General features: G+C 55.8%; 2 protein-coding genes across 8 annotated transcripts in view, besides 8 other annotated features; one reads left to right on the top strand and one right to left on the bottom strand.

The window, feature by feature from the left end:
* The window catches only part of DNM1 (dynamin 1), a 51,866-nt gene extending 34,692 nt beyond the window's left edge, over positions 1–17,174 (bottom strand). For all 6 annotated transcript variants that reach the window (NM_001005336.3, NM_001374269.1, NM_004408.4 and 3 more), the window contains exons 1-6: positions 16,922–17,174; positions 2,249–2,322; positions 1,822–1,971; positions 1,301–1,504; positions 467–565; positions 212–372 (exon numbers count right to left, since the gene is read on the bottom strand). In NM_001005336.3, the coding sequence (NP_001005336.1) occupies positions 212–372; positions 467–565; positions 1,301–1,504; positions 1,822–1,971; positions 2,249–2,322; positions 16,922–17,082 (849 nt within the window). In that variant the 5' untranslated portion in view covers positions 17,083–17,174. The remainder of the gene's footprint in view (positions 1–211; positions 373–466; positions 566–1,300; positions 1,505–1,821; positions 1,972–2,248; positions 2,323–16,921) is intronic.
* Positions 817–1,772: an enhancer, noted in NCBI's record as "H3K27ac-H3K4me1 hESC enhancer chr9:130981060-130982015 (GRCh37/hg19 assembly coordinates)". NCBI's record gives its function as "activates a minimal SCP1, AML or CMV promoter by ChIP-STARR-seq in naive H9 embryonic stem cells {active_cell/tissue: H9 hESC(naive)}" and the evidence as "EXISTENCE:reporter gene assay evidence [ECO:0000049][PMID:30033119]".
* Positions 817–2,729: a biological region, named in NCBI's record as "H3K27ac-H3K4me1 hESC enhancers GRCh37_chr9:130980103-130981059 and GRCh37_chr9:130981060-130982015".
* Positions 1,509–1,803: an enhancer, noted in NCBI's record as "tiled region #8497; HepG2 Activating non-DNase unmatched - State 4:PromP, and K562 Activating DNase unmatched - State 1:Tss". NCBI's record gives its function as "activates a minimal TATA promoter and a strong SV40 promoter by Sharpr-MPRA in HepG2 and K562 cells {active_cell/tissue: HepG2 | K562}" and the evidence as "EXISTENCE:reporter gene assay evidence [ECO:0000049][PMID:27701403]".
* Positions 1,773–2,729: an enhancer, noted in NCBI's record as "H3K27ac-H3K4me1 hESC enhancer chr9:130980103-130981059 (GRCh37/hg19 assembly coordinates)". NCBI's record gives its function as "activates a minimal SCP1, AML or CMV promoter by ChIP-STARR-seq in naive H9 embryonic stem cells {active_cell/tissue: H9 hESC(naive)}" and the evidence as "EXISTENCE:reporter gene assay evidence [ECO:0000049][PMID:30033119]".
* Positions 15,388–15,960: an enhancer, noted in NCBI's record as "H3K4me1 hESC enhancer chr9:130966872-130967444 (GRCh37/hg19 assembly coordinates)". NCBI's record gives its function as "activates a minimal SCP1, AML or CMV promoter by ChIP-STARR-seq in primed H9 embryonic stem cells {active_cell/tissue: H9 hESC(primed)}" and the evidence as "EXISTENCE:reporter gene assay evidence [ECO:0000049][PMID:30033119]".
* Positions 16,249–16,543: a silencer, noted in NCBI's record as "tiled region #9989; HepG2 Repressive DNase matched - State 4:PromP". NCBI's record gives its function as "represses a minimal TATA promoter and a strong SV40 promoter by Sharpr-MPRA in HepG2 cells {active_cell/tissue: HepG2}" and the evidence as "EXISTENCE:reporter gene assay evidence [ECO:0000049][PMID:27701403]".
* CIZ1 (CDKN1A interacting zinc finger protein 1) overlaps positions 16,331–17,754 on the top strand; it is a 38,158-nt gene continuing 36,734 nt past the window's right edge. For both annotated transcript variants that reach the window (NM_001131015.2, NM_012127.3), the window contains exon 1: positions 16,331–16,367. The gene's annotated coding sequence lies outside the window, so the exon portion shown is untranslated. The remainder of the gene's footprint in view (positions 16,368–17,754) is intronic.
* Positions 17,112–17,331: a silencer, noted in NCBI's record as "silent region_20331". NCBI's record gives its function as "represses an Ori minimal core promoter by ATAC-STARR-seq in GM12878 lymphoblastoid cells {active_cell/tissue: GM12878}" and the evidence as "EXISTENCE:reporter gene assay evidence [ECO:0000049][PMID:35858748]".
* Positions 17,392–17,491: an enhancer, noted in NCBI's record as "active region_29074". NCBI's record gives its function as "activates an Ori minimal core promoter by ATAC-STARR-seq in GM12878 lymphoblastoid cells {active_cell/tissue: GM12878}" and the evidence as "EXISTENCE:reporter gene assay evidence [ECO:0000049][PMID:35858748]".

Below are 17,754 nucleotides of genomic sequence, written 5' to 3'. Positions count from 1 at the left end.
TCCCTGGCAGGTCCCAGACAGGGAAAGGTCAGTGAAGCTTTGCTGCTACCTAGCTGTGGGGCTGTGGGCAAGTTGCTTTGCTTTTCTGAGGCTCAGTTTGTCTATCTGCACTACGGAGAGGCTAACCTCTGCTGTTCACTCTCAGAACACACTTAATTTATCCTGTTTTCATGCTTGTTTCCCCAGGCCCCATCCTGGCTTGGTCGCCTACCTGATTGAGGACCTTCTGCAGGTAGGGCGTGCCCATACGGTCAGCCAAGTGGCGATAAGATGGATGGGAGAGGAAGAACTTTCGTTCAGCAGCCAAGGCGGCGGTAATGTCCTTCTTGCCATCAATGTCCTTCTGGCTCCGGTTCACCACTCCAATGTAGCCTGTGAACAGTATCAAGGTCAGGGCAACCAGCCTCAAGAGGAGGGGAAGGGTGGGGAAGGGCTGGGGAGTGGTTGAGGGGCATGGCCTGCTTACCTCTGCGCAGGGGGAGCAGCTTGTTCTCCAGCACATCACGGGCATCTGTGCCCTCGTCCATCAGGTCCAGCTTGGTGATGACCCCGATGGTGCGCTGGCCTGGGTGCACCAGCAGGAGGGCCGTCTACAGCTGCACCCGCTCTCACACACAATTCCATGCACTCCCACTCCCATCCCCCTGCTCTCCTCGGCCCCCTGCCTGCTCACTGCCTCCTCTCTTTCCCCCTTATTCATTTTCCACAGAGTAGCCAAAATGATTTTTATTTATTCTTCTTGTTTTTTTATTTGTTAGAGATGGGATCTCGCTTTGTTGCCAGGCTGGTTTCCAACTCCTGGCTTCAAGCGATCCTCCCAAGTTGGCCTCCCAAAGTGCTGGGATTACAGGCATGAGCCACTGCACCCAGCCTTTTTTTCTTTTTTGAGACAGGGTCTCACTCTTGCCCATGCTGGACTGCAGTGGTGCGAGTAGGGCTCACTGCAGCCTCAACCTCCTGGGCTCAAGTGATTCTCTGGCCTCAGCCTCACGAGTAGCTGGGACCACAAGCGTGCACCACGGTGCCCGGCTAATTTTTAAATTTTTTGTAGAAATGGGGTCTCACTAGGTTGCCCAGCCTTGTCTCGAACTCCTGGGCTCAAGCAATCCTCCCGGCTTGGCCTCCCAAAGTGCTGGGATTACAGGCATGAGCTACCATGCCTGACCCCCAAAGTGATTTTTAAAGGTACAAATCTGATCCCACCGCTATTCTTAGACCGTTCAGAGGCTCCCCTTTACACTAAGAATAGACAGCCTGCAAGCCTGGGGTTTTGTGCATTGGCCACCGGGTGGGAACCTACCCTGGGGGTCCACCTCCTTGGCGACCTTGAGGGCGTCAGAATTGGCCAGGTCAGAGTTGGCGGGGGACACGGCCAGGATGAGGCAGTTCTCCTTGGTGACAAACTGCATAAGCATGTCTCGGATCTGGAACTCGATGTCGGGAGGTTGGTCCCCCACCGGGACCTTGGTCATTCCGGGCAGGTCCACCAGGGTCAGGTTCAGCACTGGACAGGGCGGCGAGAGGGCGGGCTCAAGGCGAGGGGCGTGGCCGCGGGCGAGGTTAAAGAATAGGGCGGGGTTAGAGAAGCTGCTTGGGAGCAGGGTGGCAGGTGGGTGGGACTAGGAAATCTCAGGGCGAAAGTGGCAGTCTGTTGGAGGCGTGGCCGGAAGTGGGCGGAATCACGGCAGGGTGGAGCTTGGAATAGGATGATGCAGAGGCAGGGTCATTCTAGGGGCGGAGTCTGCAGGAGGAGCGAGGCACGCAGAGGTGCGTGGCCAAGAAAATGATTCTTAGAGGTTAGGGCGGGGCCAGGGTCCTCACCGTGCGGCGAGTAGACGCGGAGGTTGATAGGCACCGGCGAGATGCCCTTGTTGGTGCCGGTGACCCTGTCGGTCTCGGCCTCGATCTCAAGGCGCACCTCCTCGAAGTCGGTGAATTTCTTTCCCTTGCAGTGCAGGAACTCGGCATATTCTGCTCCAGAAGCGGGCAGGGGAAGGGCAGTAGGCATCAAGGTCTGGAACCCCACCTGGGGGTTTTCATCTCCCACCGGTAATAGAACCCCCTAGACACACCCAAGCAGAACCACCACCCACGTCTCCATTATGTATTTTGATCCCCGCTATCCCTAAGGGGAACGAGGCCCACAGTCACACAGCAAGCAAGTTCGTGGCCAGGCTGGCCCTCAGCTTGGGGACGGGGGAGAGGCTGGAGTGGGCAGGCCTGGCTGCTGGTGAAGGAGGGCACGTACCTGTGGTTGCATTGACCAGCTGCAAGACCAGGGGACGTCGGGTGACAATGCCAGATCCTCGAGGCAAGAAGTCCCTGCAATGAGTTGGAGGTCAAAGGAGGGTCAAGATATGAGGGGGCGCCCTCTGTCCCAGGGGTACCTGTCCGGCCCCTGGGAAAGCCAAAGCTCCTTCCAAAGTGCTGGCTCCACCGCTCCTTAGCCCAGGGGCTTCAGGTAACTAAGAGCATATGGCAGCCCAGAAAGGTGGAAAATACTTTTCCTCAAGTCGCCTGGGTCACAGAATTTATGCATCTGAGCTGCCAAGAGACTGGATCAACTCCTAGATACGTCCTGTGTTGGTTTTGAACCAATAGGAAGTCCCTGCCCCAACTCAGCCACGGCCATTCAGCCCCAGAAAACTGAGGCATGGGGTCTCCCACATGCCTATGTGTCCAATGCCCACAGAGTGGATCCCAGGAAACAGAGCTGTAACTTCTCCCCTCCCTTCCGCTGTGGGGCAGGGCAGCATCTCACTTCCCCTTCTCCAGGCTCCATATGGCTAGGGTTGAAGAAGAGTGGGGAAGGAGGTGGCAAGGAAAAGGACTCATGGGCCGGGCGCGGTGGCTCACGCCTGTAATCCCAGCACTTTGGAGGCTGAGGCGGGCGGATCACCTGAGGTCAGGAGTTTGAGACCAGCCTGGCCAACATGGTGAAACCCTGTCTCTACTAAAAATACAAAAAAATTAGCCGGCGGGGTGTCAGGCACCTGTAATCTCAGCTATTTGGGAGGCTGAGGCAGGAGAATTGTTTGAACCCGGGAGGCGGAGGTTACGGTGAGCCAAGATCGCGCCATTGCACTCCAGCCTAGGCGACAAGAGCAAAACTCCACCTCAAAAAAACCCACAAAGAAACAAAAAAACTCATGCTTCTTAGTGCCTACTGCATGCCAGGCGCTTAGTGGGGCTCCATACTGTAGCCCCATGAGGCAGGTGCTGTTATTACCCCCATTTTGCAGATGAGGGAGCTGCACCTTAGAGACATTCAGGTTGCACAGCCAGTATCTGGCAGAGCAGACCCTGGTCTCGGATATATTTGACTCTGCAGTGACACTCCCCTGCCCTTCAGCCCCCTGTGAACCGAGCCGCCTTTGAAGGACTGGACTGAGAGGTCCCAAAGTCATCCCCCGTCCCCAGACCTGACAGTCTATAGCTTAGACATCTGCTCGTGCCAATGTCAACCTCAGCTGTCCTTTTGGCTGACTCTTGTGGGTGCCGGTTCTCTGTCCAGTCAGCTCTTTTCATCCACCTCCCTCTGCACCACCCTCCAGCTGGCGCAAGCACAAGGGTGAAGGCCTCTCCAGGAATCAGGATGTCAGAATTGCCAGTCATGGGATCTCCAGGGCCCAGGAAAGGGGGGAACAGGTTGAAGCCCGAGGGACCATTGAGACACAGCCAGCGCCTTATTCATGGAGAGGCCCAGGGAGGGAAAAAGATACATTCAAGCTCTACAGAGCCAGAGGTGGAACCCAGGTCTCTTGCTCCCAGCCCAGAGCCTGACCCAGACTCACAAGTCTTCTTGCACCCCAGGGTCAGGAGCTAAGGGTCTTAGGTACAACAGACTAGACCCAGAGCTCCTAGGTTCAAAGCCCCCTCTTGAAGCCTCTCCACTGCCTCACGTCTGGGGAAGTGGACGCTGCTGGGGAGGAGTCAGGAATTATACTGGAGAAGGAGAAGGATGGTAAGCCCTGTGTATATTCATCATTTCTGCGCACCAGGCAAATGCTTTTCATTCTTGCCAGACAGTGAGCAGGGCAGCCTCTTTCTGTCTGCCACTGTATCCCAGTGCCCAGGACAGGGCTTAGCACACAAGGGGCACTCAATAAATTCTGATTGAATCTCCAAGTCCTCGAATCTGTGCTCTGATATAGAGATTATCATTTTACAGAGGAAGCAGCTGAGGCTCAGAGAGGTGAAGTGACTCACCCAAGGTCACACAGCAGAGTGGGGATTCAAAGCTGAGTGTCTGTTGGACCCTCAGCCTGGAAACTTCCTCATTCAATGGTGCTGTCTCAAACCCAAGAAGCCAGACTTGGCTTTTTATGTAATTCAATTAAATTCAGTCTGTGCCGGGCCCTGTGCCGGGCTCTGGGGATGGGAGATGATGAGTCAGACAGTTCCCACCCTGAGGAACTCACAGTGTGGTGGGAGAGACAGACAAGTAAACAGATAATGCAATGCAGCGTGGTATGTGCTAGAACAGAGGTGTGCCAGGCGGCACAGAGGGAGGGGGTTTGCTGGGGGGTGGGAGGACTTCCGGTCTCAATCTCTCCCATCCTTTACTCAAAGACTCCTTTGGGGGCGTGACTTCCAGTTTTGGGAGTCCCCCAGGGCTGTGGAGATAGAACAGCTGTTCTCATAGAAGCTGGGGTGGGTGTGGGGGCCGGGGGTCCACCCTCTTCTCCACCAGCTCCTCACCAGCAACACCATGGCAACAGTAGTTGCCATGGAAACTGCAGGAGGGGCTGGAAAGGATGGGACTCCCCACAAAGAGTCCCCCACACAGAGACGTGGACTTTCCCTGGAGTTCTTCCCTGAGAGGCCTCTCCTTGAGCAGACAGGCCCACGCAGCCCTGGTGAGCCTGAGGGGTGGAGGTCTCCAAGGTGCCACATAGCGGGTGTGGGGAGCCCAGGGCCCAGCTGGCAAGAATGCTGGGTGGTCAGGGTCTGGGCCAGCTGCCTGCTGCCTCCCCAGGGCTACTTAAAGGGCAAGTAGCTTCTGGGAAGCAGAGACTAGAGGCAGGGCCATGTCTGGGGGTCAACCCCTCCCAGAGCCAAGATCTCCTGGTGCCCAGATGGGGAGGTGGCCCATCTCTGTCATGGCCCAGGTTCTCAAAGTGAGGCCCTCACGCGGCCTGCATCAGAATGCCTTGGGTAGTTTGTCCAGACGCATGCTCCTCAGGCATGCTGGGCTAGAATCTCAAGAGGGCTTCATGGGGAGGCAGAATCTGGGTTTTAAATGGATCCTCAGGTGGTTTCCACACTCCGTGTTAAGTTTAAGGACCATCTGCCCCATGCTGAGGAGCCAGTGCCAGGCTGGCTCCTTCATCGAATCCTACATTGGCCTTTCCTTGGCCTGGTGCCTGGTGCCAGGACCCGAGAGGTCTGCTTCCCAGTCTCACGTCTGGACTGACAGTGGGGAGGACCAGCAGGTCCCCAGGTCCGGACAATGAGCTCCTCACTCACTTCCGGGTTCCTGCCTGGCACAGGCCCCGCACGTAGTAGGCGTGCAGGCAACACGAGAAGGAATGTGCATGACTCAGCAGCTCCCTAGCTCTTCCCTTTCACCTGGACACACTGTCCCACTTTAGCCCTCTGTTTAAGGGTCCCCTAGGTGGCCCTCCTTCTCCCCAGTGGGGATCCAGACTAGATCCAGCCTCCAGCTCCTGGTTAGGCTAAGGGAGGACAGAACAGGTGCCCAGAGAAAAGTATCAGGCCCACCAGCCTCGGAGGCCGCGTGCTGTGCCCAGCGTGGGAGGGGCGGCTGCTGGCATGCCAGTTCTCCCCACTCATTTGGAGCAGATGGTGGGTTCCCAGGGAGGCTGTGCCTGGCCATCTGCAGAGGCACCTTCAAACGTGAAACATGAGGGGACGAAACAAACACCTCTCAGGAACCCCAAATGCCACACTCCCTGTCTGAACTGGAGTTGTCACCGTGAGAGGGGTCTGGAGAAACTGAACCCAAGGGCTGATGTGACCCCTACCCCTACCCCTACTCTAGGACCTGAGACTTGGGATCAGAGCTCTGGGATCCTGGTTCCCAGGCCCTGCTGAATGCAAATGACCCCAGGAAGTAACGTGCTTAACTGGGCGTGCACCCAGTGCCGGTCATTCTTCTATGCCTCCTCTTTTTTGGGCTCTGATGTCAGATGGACCCCACATTGAATGTCTGAGCTGTCATGTAGGAGCTGTGTGGCTGTGCACAAATGACCATACCTCTCTGAGCCTCAGTTTCCACATCAGTAAAATGGGTTGCTGTGAGGCTTATACAGACTGATGGCTGAACCAATCGTGGCTACTATGATTATAAATAACGATAGCTTGCTGGGCATGCTGAGACCACAGGCTGGACTCCCACAGCCTCGTCACCAGAAGAGGCAGCGGGGAGAGAGTTGGACGGTGGGTTTCCTGGAGGATGGCAGTGAGCTTGGGGGTGAGGGCAGGATATTTCCAGCCAGATCTTGACCCTGGAGGTGGAAGGCAAGGGGGGTGGGCAGGGGCGTGCTCTGAAGCAGGGAGTTGGGGTGCCTGCAAGGGAGTGGGTAGGCCAAGAAATACAGTTGGGAGGAGGTGAGGCTACCCCCAGGCAACAAGTCGCTCTCTGTTCCTGCTGCCCCAGGGGACCCTAGGCAGCCCCGTCACAGCTCATGAATTTCAAGCTGAGGTCTGAACACTGCAGGGCAGTTCTGGCCTTGGCTTTCCTTGATGTTCTGATGGCCCCGGGAGCAGGGACTAGGCTAGACTTGTTTGTCACAATATCCCAGCACCTAGCCCTGGGTCTGGCATGTAGCAGACTCTCAGGACACCCGCACTGACCAAAAGAGGGAATGGAAGATGAGCTCTACCATCGGCTTCATTGTATAGGGTAGAAACTGAGGCACAAAAGGGAAGAGTCTTGCCCAAGATCATGGTGCAAGTTGGTGACAAGGTAGGGCTCCTGAGTCCGGGTAGGTGCTCTCTCCACAGCAATCTTTCTCCCTATTAAGCAGAGCCTATTACCTTCCCTTATTTCTTATCTTCTCATCCTTCCTACTTTCTTTCCCACCCTCCCTCCCTCCCTTCCATCAATCCAAGGGTTGATGACTTTGTATTTTCAAAAGGGAAATAGATCTCTTTTGCCTCTAATTTTTAAAATCATGTGTTCTCCATTTTAAAAGATTCAGAAAATGACAAGGTGCGGTGGCTCACTCCTGTAATCCCAACACTTTGGGAGGCCGAGGTGGGTGGATCGCCTGAGGTCAGGAGTTTGAGACCAGCCTGGCCAACATGGTGAAACCCCATCTCTACTAAAGATACAAAAATTAGCAGGGTGTGGTGGCGTGCGCCTGTAGTCCCAGCTACTCGGGAGACTGAGGCAGGAGAATCGCTTGAACCCGGGAGGTGGAGGTTGCAGTGAGCTGAGATCCTGCCGCTGTACTCCAGCCTGGATGACAGAGTGAGACTCTATCTCAAACAAACAAACAAAAAGATCCAGAAAATACGTGAAATATTTAAAAAATAAAAACCAATCGTCATCCCAACACCTGATGGGAGCCACTGTAAACATTTTATCATTCATCATCATCATCATGGCTAAACACTGATGAATTGCTGACTGTCAGCCAGGGACTCTGCCAGGGACTTGAAAATCTACATCAGCACAAGATTTCTTTTTAGGGTGACGGAAATATCCTAAAATTAGATAGTGATGATGGTTGCACCACTCTGTGAATATACCAAAGATCATTGAATTGTGCCTTTAAAATGGGTGAATGGTATGGCATGTAAATTATACCTCAGTAAAGCTGTTTAAGAAAATCTACAGCCTTTGGATCGATTCTTGCATGGCTGTGTGAAATCAGAGTGATCAGTTTCTCCATGTTACAGGGAAGAAACTGAGACTCAGAAAGGTGAAATCACATGCCTCTCAGGCGCTCACATGCACACTGGGTTATCAGCCCTTTGATAGCTTCTCTATTCACCTAACATATCATAGACATTTCCAAAGTTATTCACTATGCAGCTACATCTGGATCCTCTTTCTGTTTCCCTCCTTCTTTCCTTCCTTCCTTCCTTGATTCCTTCCTTCCTTCCTTCCAGCCGGGTCTTGCCGTGTTGCCCAGGCTGGAGTGCAGTGGTACGATCATAGCTCATTGCAGCCTCAAATTCCTGAGCTCAAGCAGTCCTCCCACCTCAATCTCCGAAGTAGCTGGGACTACATGTGTGCACCACCATGCCCAGCTATGGATCCTTATTTCTTATCACCAGCATCTTGATGAGAAGGAACCCCAACTCAGCCACTAAATTATTTCCTTGTTCTGAACCTCAGTTTGCCCACCAGTGAAATAGGACACAGGCCAGCAGCTGCCTCCTAGGGCTGCTGAGGGAATGCCCTGAGATCCTGGCTGTGGAAGGACCTAACAGGGGGTGCCCATTGGCAGGTCCCAGTTCCTGAGCACGTGCCATGTGCTGGGTGCTTTATGTGCTACAGCATTGCATTCCTTTGAAATGGGGACCCAGGTTGGGGGTGAGGGTGCATTCACCCGCTGAGATTTTTCTCCCCACCCTGGCTAGTGGCCTCCTTTCCCTGACCTAAGAAGAGAGGCACATGAGACAGAGTGATTAAAGAATAACACAGTCATGACTAGATACGTTGTTAATATTAACCATGGTTGGAGCCGCCCTCTGCCAGGAGCTCTGAGCCCAAGGCAACGGGCTTCTTTCTTCCTCTACAGCTTCCCATCTGGGAGAAAACAAAGCCCCACCCCACACAGGGAGGGCCAGGTCATGGCAGGAGAGGGTCATCAGAGAAGGCATCCCAGAGGAGGTGTTGGCTGATGTGACACTTGGAGGAAAGACCCAGTGAAAGAGGAAGACAACGGCAGGGTGAAGAGCTTTCCAGGGGCCAGCCACCTGGAATCCTGTAATCCCAATACTTTGGGAGGCTGAGGTGGGAGGATCGCTTGGGGCCAGGAGTTCAAGCCCCAGCTTGAGGCCAGGAGTTTGAGACCTGGCTTGAGGCCAGAAGTTTGAGACCAGCCTGGGTAACATAACAAGACCCTGTCTGTACAGAAAAAAAAAAAAAAAAAAAAAAAAAAGAGGCTTCCAGGCGAGAGAACAGCATATGCAATAGCACCCCAGGAGAGTGAGAGAGAGGGCACGGCCCTATTTTTCCCACGCACTGTAATATATTCAGGTAGACCAGGAGGGAGCGGCTGAAAGGAAGCAGGACTGGGTAATCAGCCCTCAGGGGCCCAACTCAGGTGTGGGGTTCCGTTTTGAGGGCAGGGAATCCAAAGAGGGCTTCAAGCTAGGAAGATAGATTGGGAGGCTGGAGAGAGTTTCATGCTGTCGGGCGGGGAATGGATTAGGGGGCAAGGGAGGAAACTACCTCTGCTGCTAAGACAAAGGGGCTGGAGTCTGAGGTAGACAGGAGTGAACTGGGCAGAATCCACAGGGCATGGGGACCAAGTCAGATGGGGAGGATGGGGGAGCCGGCAGGCAGTTGATCTTGGGGCCTCTGGCCAGGGCACTGGGAAGATGCCATTCAGGAGAATATTTTGAACACCTTCCAAGCTCAATATTACTTTTTTTTTTTCTGTTGCTTATAGTAATTCTAAGTTGCCAGGGCTGACTTCTCCAAATGATTCTTGTTTCTTAGCCAGATTTCATTCCAGGGAATGGGTAAGAGTGCCAGAGAGTCGCCCAGGAAGAGGAGAGGAGGAGACACTGAGGTGTGTAGGTGTGTGCACACATGGGTGGGACTGGGGTGGGGAATAGGGTAGACAGAAACATGGAAAAGTGTGGACTGGAGGCAGGAGACCCATGCCTGTTCCTGGCCTGCCTCTGATTCAATTGCTGTGTGACATTAGGCAGGTTCCCTACGCTCTCTGTGTCATTTTTGCCATCTAAAAACCTGGTGGCTCACACCTGTATTCCCAGCACTTTGCAAGGCCAAGGCGGGCAGATCACCTGAGGTCAGGAATTCGAGACCAGCCTGGCCAATATGGTGAAACCCCATCTCTACTAAAAATACAAAAATTAGCCAGGCATGATGGCGGGTGCCTGTTAGTCTCAGCTACTTGGGAGGCTGAGGTAGGAGAATTGCTTGAACCTGGGAGGCGGAGGTTGCAGTGAGCTGAGATTGTGCCACTGCACTCCAACCTGGGTGACCGAGCAAGACCCTGTTTCTAATAATAATAATAATAATAATAATAATAATGCCAAATAAATACAAATAAAATAAAAACCTGGTTGGAAGGCCAAAGTGGGAGGATCACTTGAGTCCAGGAGTTTGAGGCCACCCTGGGCAACATGGTGAGACCCCATCTCCACAAAAAATAAAATAAAAAACTTAGCTGGGTGTGGTGACACATGCCTGTCATCCCAGCTTCTCGGAAGGCTGAGGTGGGAGGATGGATGGCTTGAGCCCGGGAGGTCAAGGCTGCAGTGAGCCAAGATCGCCCCACTGCACTCCAGCCTGGGTGACAGAGTGAGATCCTGTCTTACAAAACAAAACAAAACAAAACAGACAAAACAAAACAAAACAAAAACTTGGAATGATAGAAGACATCAGTACTGCCCTTAGGCCTGGGGAATGGAGCCCTTAGTCTGAGACTTACACTTAGGGGTCCCTCTCTGGACCTCCTCTGGCTTCACCCTCCCCATGGGGCAAAGAGTTCCCCAGGGGCCAGGGGAGGTGCCCAGCTGAAGCCTGTGCTCCCCTCGTAGGCTACGCTCAGATGCCCCAGAATTCCCTCTCAAGCAGTTCCAAGCCCACCGCCCAGGCCCAAGTGGGGACCAGCCCAGGCCCAAGGTGGGTCCTTTCTGGAGCTGGGATATGAGGGCTGGGGTGTTCACAAGTGAACCCTGGAGGGATAAAGAGGGAAATGACGGGGCAGCCTGCGGAGAGGGGACACCTGTCCCCACGCCTCCACATCCACCACGGAACTCCAAGGAGTCTGAAATTCTGAATTCAAACCCAGCTGGTCAGGTTGTGATGAAGGTGTGTTTGTTATGGTGGGAGGGCAGAATGTATTGCATTTAGCAATTCCTCAGCTTGATTTATAACTGGAATACATAGACATATGGCATGTGGGCGTCCGTTTCTCCACGCCTGACAGCACTGTGTCCATGACCCACTTCCTCCACTCCTGCCCTGCCCACCCTCTCCACTCTCCCACCTGCACCCCCTTCCCTGGGTCCGACCCTCTGACCCAGCCAGGGCCTGGGAAACTCAATTCTCCTGGCGCCGAGATCAGATGCTGTCTGCCAGGGTCACCTTTCACTCCCAGCTCCTCTGGGCCACGGTGGGGTGTGGGTTTGGAGAGGATGTCCTCTGGCTGTGGATGGGTGCATTTCCATGTTTCCAGCCCCAGGGGTGTGCTCCACATGTGGCCCACAGGCAGTGTGTGCTTAGCACGTGGCAGCTGCGTGCTCTGAGCATGCAGAGGCTGGAGCAGAGTGTGGCAGCTCTCCAGGTGGGTGGGGGGGTGTCAAAGGGCCCCTAACAGGCCCCTCAAGCCCCGCCTCCCCAACCCTCCTAGTCTCACCTCTGGCCTCTGCTCCTCACTCAGCCACACTGCCCTTCATCCTTCATCCGGGTTCTCAAACCCGTTGGGCTCTTTTCCCCCTAACTCTTTGCTCAGGACAGTCCCTGCACCTGCGGAAGTCCACACCTTGGCTTGACCACGTCCTAGTCTTGCTCAGGTCCAATCTTAAATGCTACCTCCTCAGGAGGCCTTCTGATGGCCCAGAAAGCCCCCCTCCCCTCAATGTCAGGCTCCTTGCAACGCAGGAGCAGCCTCCTTCAAAATACACGACAAACGTGCTCTTTGTGGATTTCATGTCTGTCTGCCCCGATCAGCCGCAAGCCTCCCCAAGCAGGATGGGTCTGGCTGACTCACAACTGTATCCTCAGGGCCTGGCACACAGCAAGTGCCAAGGAAATATTAGTTCCCTCTGCCCCATCCAGGTCATCGATACTCTGCCTAGGATGTCTCATTTATCCCCTAATAGACTTTGGCCTCCATCTCCAAATCTGAGAAATGGGACCACTATGATGCATCCTGGTGTGTTCAGAGGAAGAGACAGAGCTTAATAGTGGGGAGGGGGCTGTCTCCCCTGGGAAAGGCTAGGTTTGACAAAGAGAAGGGCTCTCAGAGTCCAGAGACCAGCATCACGTCCATGCTGGGATAGAATGCAGAGCAGAGAGCTGAGTGCTATGGCTCACACTTGTAATCCCAGCACTTTAGGAGGCTGAGGTGGGTGGATCACTGGAGGTCAGGAGTTGAGACCAGCCTGGACAACATGATGAAACTCCATCTCTATTAAAAATACAAAAATTAGCCGGGCGTGGTGGTACATGCCTGTAATCCCAGCTACTTGGGAGGCTAGGGCAGGAGAATCACTTGAACTTGGGAGGTGGAGGTTGCAGTGAGCTGAGATCGCGCCATTGCATTCCAAGTCTGGGTGACAGAGTGAGACTCCATCTCAAAAAAAGAAAAAAAAAAGAAAAAAAAGAATGGGGAGGAAGGGACAAGGGCATTGGGGGAGACAGAAAGCCTGGGGGTGGGGGGTAGGCAGAGTTACGGGGAAACCTAAAACCCTTCCTCCCAGGCTGCTCCTTCGGCTCTGGGCAGAGGGTCGCTCCTCAGGACCCCTACCCTACCCTGGATGGAGAAGATCCCCAACCCGTGCCCCCATCCTGGTGCACCTCCCAGCCCACGCCATCCCAGAGGGCTTGCCTGTCTACGCCCAGGCAGGGATAGAAGCAGCGCGTCCTCCATGCCAGGCCCTGCCCCGAGTGCTTCCTGGGGATTGTTTCAACACTCACCATAATCTCACAAGGGATGTGCTATTATTATCCCCATTTTACAGATGAGGAAATAGCAGCTGGGCAGGGTTTGGGGAACATGCCCAGGGTTTCTCTGCTTGTAAGTGGCAGAGTTGAGCTTCATACTCGGCAGGTCTGACTCCACACCATGCTCTCGGCCCCTCTGCCACATTCCCACCAGACTTGGCCTGCCCTAGGACAACCCACTCTTGGCCCTAGAGGAGCACTGGGGTGGGGGGTGTAGCGGGGCGGGGGTGACAAAGAGGAGCTGGAGGGACAGCGAGGAGGCCCCTTTGGCCTAGGGCACCAGGCATCTGTTCATGAAAGGCTGGTGTGTGCTGGGTCCACAAACACTCCCCCATCTACACTTACCCCCAGGATGAGCTCATCTACTCTCGGGTTTAAATCCCATCTCTACACCAACGACTTCCAAATTTTTACTTCCAGCCCGTCTTCCCCCTGAGCTCTCAACTTGCATCACCAAACTGCCAGCTGACATCTTCCACTTAGAAGTCTAACAGGCATCTCAGGCTCAATATGTTCAGAACCAAACCCTGGTCTTCCCCCATCCCCCCAGTCTGCTCCTCCTTACTCTTCCCGACTCTGTTAATGGCACCAACACCCACCCAGGAGCTCAGGTCAAAGTCCCAGAAGTCATCATTGATTCCTCTTTCCTCACCCTCCACATTCATCCTCCAGCAGGACTTCCTCTAAAATATATCCTGAAACCCACCCACCATTCTCCTTCTGGTTGCAGCTGAAGCCCTTGTCCAGGCCCCCCACTACCCCCTGCCCACTGCAGCAGCCTCCCCACCAGTCTCCTGCCTTTTCCCTCACCCGCTCCCCAAGTCACACCCTTGCTAGAATTAGCTCATCACTCCACTACTAAAAAGCTTCCCACAAGAGAGAAAATAAACCCAAACTCCTCACTCCTCATGGCCTAAGGGCTTTGTAGATCTAGCCCCTGCCTATCTCTCAGGTCCTGTCTCCCCCTTGCTAGCTGAATACCAGCTACAGGGTCTCCTTTCTGTTCTTCAAAGGCACCAAATTCTTTGCTACCCCGGGGCCTTTGCACCTTTCCCTTGGCCTGGAACTCTCCCGCCCCTGGCAAGTTACACAGCTTCTCATCCCTTGGTTCTCATCTCAGATGCCACCTCCTCCTGGAGACCTCTGACCTCCCTGGGGAGAGCAGCCCCACTCCCCTCCCTGACGTTCACCACATTTTCCAGTTGTCTTCTGAGTTTCTCCCTCTGCAGTGCAGAGTCTTGGTCTTTTCCACCATAGAATCCCCAGTGCTGAGACATCGTGCACCCTCCACAAATGTTTGCTAAATGACTGAATGAATTGGCCTCAGTTTTCCCTTCTGTAAAAGGGAAGGGGGTGAAGAAATAGTATAGACCCAGACAAGTTCTAGCAGCATCCCAGGCAGCTGCAAGGCTACCTCCATTGCAGAGTTGACAGCAGGATCCTCCTGAGCACCCAGAAGCCCGGGTGGGCCTGGGGCAGCCCTGATGCATTTTCCTGTGAAGCATTTTCTGTTGGGGATTGGCTCCTGGGAAGCCCCAGGAGACAGAATGGCTGTTACTATGCTCACCAGTCTGGGGACTGAGCCCTGTTGGAGAGGTCAGGAGCCCTTGAGGGAGCTGGCAGGCTGAGACAGTGGAACCCACTGAGCCTCAGTTTCCCTGGCCTTCTCACTAGCTTTCAGAGGATCATGAATGCTTTTCTGCCTACTCCTTCACATCAACCTAAGCCCCCTCCCCTGCCCTGGGCCTGCATCTGGACACCCTGCACATCCTCCTGTGGGGACAACGGCCAAGGGCATTGGGGTGGAGAGGGCAGCCAGAGGGCCCAGGCCTCCTGGGGCACGGTCCAAACCTTGCTCCACCACTCAACAAGCAAGTACTCGATGAAATCTGCTGTGGTCAGGGATGGCCCCTGCGTCATGGGCTCCAGGAAGGCAGGGGCTGGGCATGCAGGTCCCCAAGCCTAATTGGCTATCAGCGCCCCCTCCCGCATGTTTACAAAAGCACCTTTCCACCCATGAACTCGGTGGAGCCCACAGTCACCTTCTCAGGAAGGCAGGGCAGCGGCTGTCAGCGTTTCCATTCCGCAGATGGGGAAATGGAGGCCCACCCACCCACACGTCCCTGTGCCTGGTGCAGGACCCGGCTGTCAGAGGATGTGCAGCGTCGAGATTAGGAATTGGGCTTTGGAGTCTAACAGCTGCTGCCCTTTCTGAATGTGTGACCTTGGGCAAGGCATCTAACCTCCAGGGTCTCAGTTTCCTCATCTGTAGGATGGGCATCATGGTACCTGCCTCTTGGGAGCTCCTGTGAGCCTATGAAGGACTCAGCATAGGGGGATGCATGGGATGGGCTCAGTAGATGCGGGCTGAAATCACCAGTTGGTCCCCTCCCTACCCCAAGCCTGAAGCACGCAGCCTGGCATGGGGCAGGAGTTCAGCCAACATTCAAAGGACGAGAGGTAGGAATATGGTTTCTCCATTCTAAACTGCTGGATATCCCTGACTGCTGGCCCTTGGGGAAGGGGCCCGTGGTGTGTCTCTTGCCTGTGTCTCTGCAGCTCCGGGGGTCATGTGATCAGAAGGGGGGCTCTGCAGGAGCCATTGGAGAGACAGATGCCTTCCCCTCTGCTGACCAGATGGGCACGGCCGCCCCCACGGTGGCCTTCCAACGTCCCACACACACATGGCTCCAGTCAGGCCCTCTCCCTCTCACCTCTAGGGCTGGCATGGGTTTCCCAGGACATTTGAGGGGCAGGAACAACCACCCAGTCCCACTGTCCATGTTAGAGATGGGGACACTGAGGCTCAGAGAGGGCAAGTGACTTGCCTGAGGTTTTGCAGCAGAACCTGGCTTGGACAGAACTGCTGTACCTCTGCGGACAAGGGCCCCTGCCTCCCTCTCCCATGTGCCAGTCACTTTTTTGGCCCTGAAGGTCATTGGAAGAAAGCAAGAGTTTCTGAAGAAGATGGGGGGGAGATGAAAGACGGGGTCAGTGTAAACTCTCTCACTTCATCCCCCAGTCTGCCCAGCCCCCCAACCCACCTCCAGTACCTGGAGAGCTCCTATCTTTCTTCTCTCTCCTCAGCACCAGAAAAACTATTTCTGCCTCCCTTTGGGGGTTTGTGGGGAGCCTGCGGGTCACGACCCTGCCTGCCCCGCTAAACCCACGACCCTTTGTCTTTGCGGTTGTTCCTCTCTCCGCCACCTAGGCCTCTCAGCGCCTTGTGGGATCAGAGGCGGGAGGGGGATTAGGTTCTGCAAATGGCTCCCCCCTCCCGCCATCCCTGTCTTAGTCATCTCTGCCCTCTGCCGCCTCTCCCTCCAACACGATTCCTCTGGCCAGGCCAAGGGGAGGGCGACACTGACAGGCGCCCCCCACCCAGGGGCCGTGGCGAAGCAAGGGGCCGGCTGCTCAGAAAAGGATAAGAAGTGGTTTCTCCTCCCCTCTTCCCTTCCTCATCCTGCAGCCCGCGCCTCCCCCCTCGCCGCGCTGCGCACGGATGGCGGCGGGAGCCGCAGAGGTGTGTGTGTGCTGGCGGGAGGCCGTGCCCGGTCCTCGATGCCCGCGGGACTACGTCCTCTTCTAGGGACTGGGATGCGGGGGCTGACCTCTGCCACGGCCCAGGAATTCCCATGGGGGTAGGGGGATGTCCCCCATTGAGCCCGGTGTGGGGGACGCTGCCCCCGGGTGCTGCCCGCTCCAAGGGACTCCCGGAGCCCAACGGAGACGCTGAGTAATGCGGGCTCTCTCCATGCCCATGTTGGGGGCGGGGGGCAGCTCTTTGCCCGGGGCTTCTGGCAGAGCGTTGTCTGCCCTAAAGGATGGGACGGAGGAGGGGGCGTGATTCGGTAGCCGGAGGCTTGACGACGTTTGCAGACTAGCGGGGGGCGCTGCTGCCCCGAGGGGCTCTCGTGGTGGGGGGAGGGCCTCCTCGCTCCGGCTGGGGGTGGGGGGCGCGCCGGCCGCGGGTGCAGCGTCGGGGGCTGCGAGGTCGCCGCGCCGTCAGTGCCCCGGGCGGGGACTCCAGGGATCCCGGGGGTCGGGGGTCGGCGCCTGGGGGCGCGCCGCGCCTACCTGCCTACGAAATTCTCGAGCACCGAGCTCTTGCCGGCGCTCTGGCCGCCCACCACAGCGATCTGCGGCAGGTCGAGGTCCGCGTTCTGGCCGATGGCAGAGAAGGCGTCTTGCAGCCGGTTGACCAGCGGGATGAGATCTTCCATGCCGCGGTTGCCCATGGCTGCGGCGGGCCCCGCAGGCTGCGATCCGGCTGCCGCTAGCGCTCCCGGCTCCGACTCCGGCTCCGCCGCTGCAGCCGCGCGCCCAGACTGCCTGCGCCGCGGGGCCCCCGCCCCTCGGGGATCGGAGCGAGCACCGCTCCCGGACGCCGCTAGGGGGAGCCCGCGGCGCTGCGGGCCGGCCGCCGTGCGCAGGCGCCGTCCGGGGCATCATGGGTGTCGTAGTTTTCACCTTCTGCGGCTTTTGGGGTGCTTTAGCAGTGTCTGGGGTGCGCGGATGCTGCGCAGAATATATTTGTCAATGGGTTGGGTCTCACTCCTAGTACCAGGCCTCTTGGAGAGTGGTCTGGATGTTTCACTCCATCTTACCGATGAGGAAACAGGCCTGGAGAGCAGATGGGCTTCCTCTGAGGTCACAGCCTCCTGACCTCAGAGGTCAGAACTCCGAGATGAGTTCCCCTTCATCTCGCTGGCTTCTATCCCTAGATCCTGACTCTGATCTCCAACATGTCCTCTTCTGCCTTTGGTCCTCAGTTTCCTTGTTTCTAGAAGGAGAAAGTTGGAACATGAATTCAACAAATATTTACTAGGTACCTGCTAGAAGCCAGGCCCTGTCCTAGGCACTGAAGATTCAGCAACGAATAAGACAGCCAAGGCCTCTGCCCTCATAGA

Source organism: Homo sapiens, chromosome 9, assembly GCF_000001405.40.
Source record: "Homo sapiens chromosome 9, GRCh38.p14 Primary Assembly".
Taxonomy (NCBI): Eukaryota; Metazoa; Chordata; class Mammalia; order Primates; family Hominidae; genus Homo; species Homo sapiens.
The sequence above is the reverse complement of the archived record's forward strand: the minus strand, read 5'-3'. Positions and strand labels throughout refer to the sequence as shown.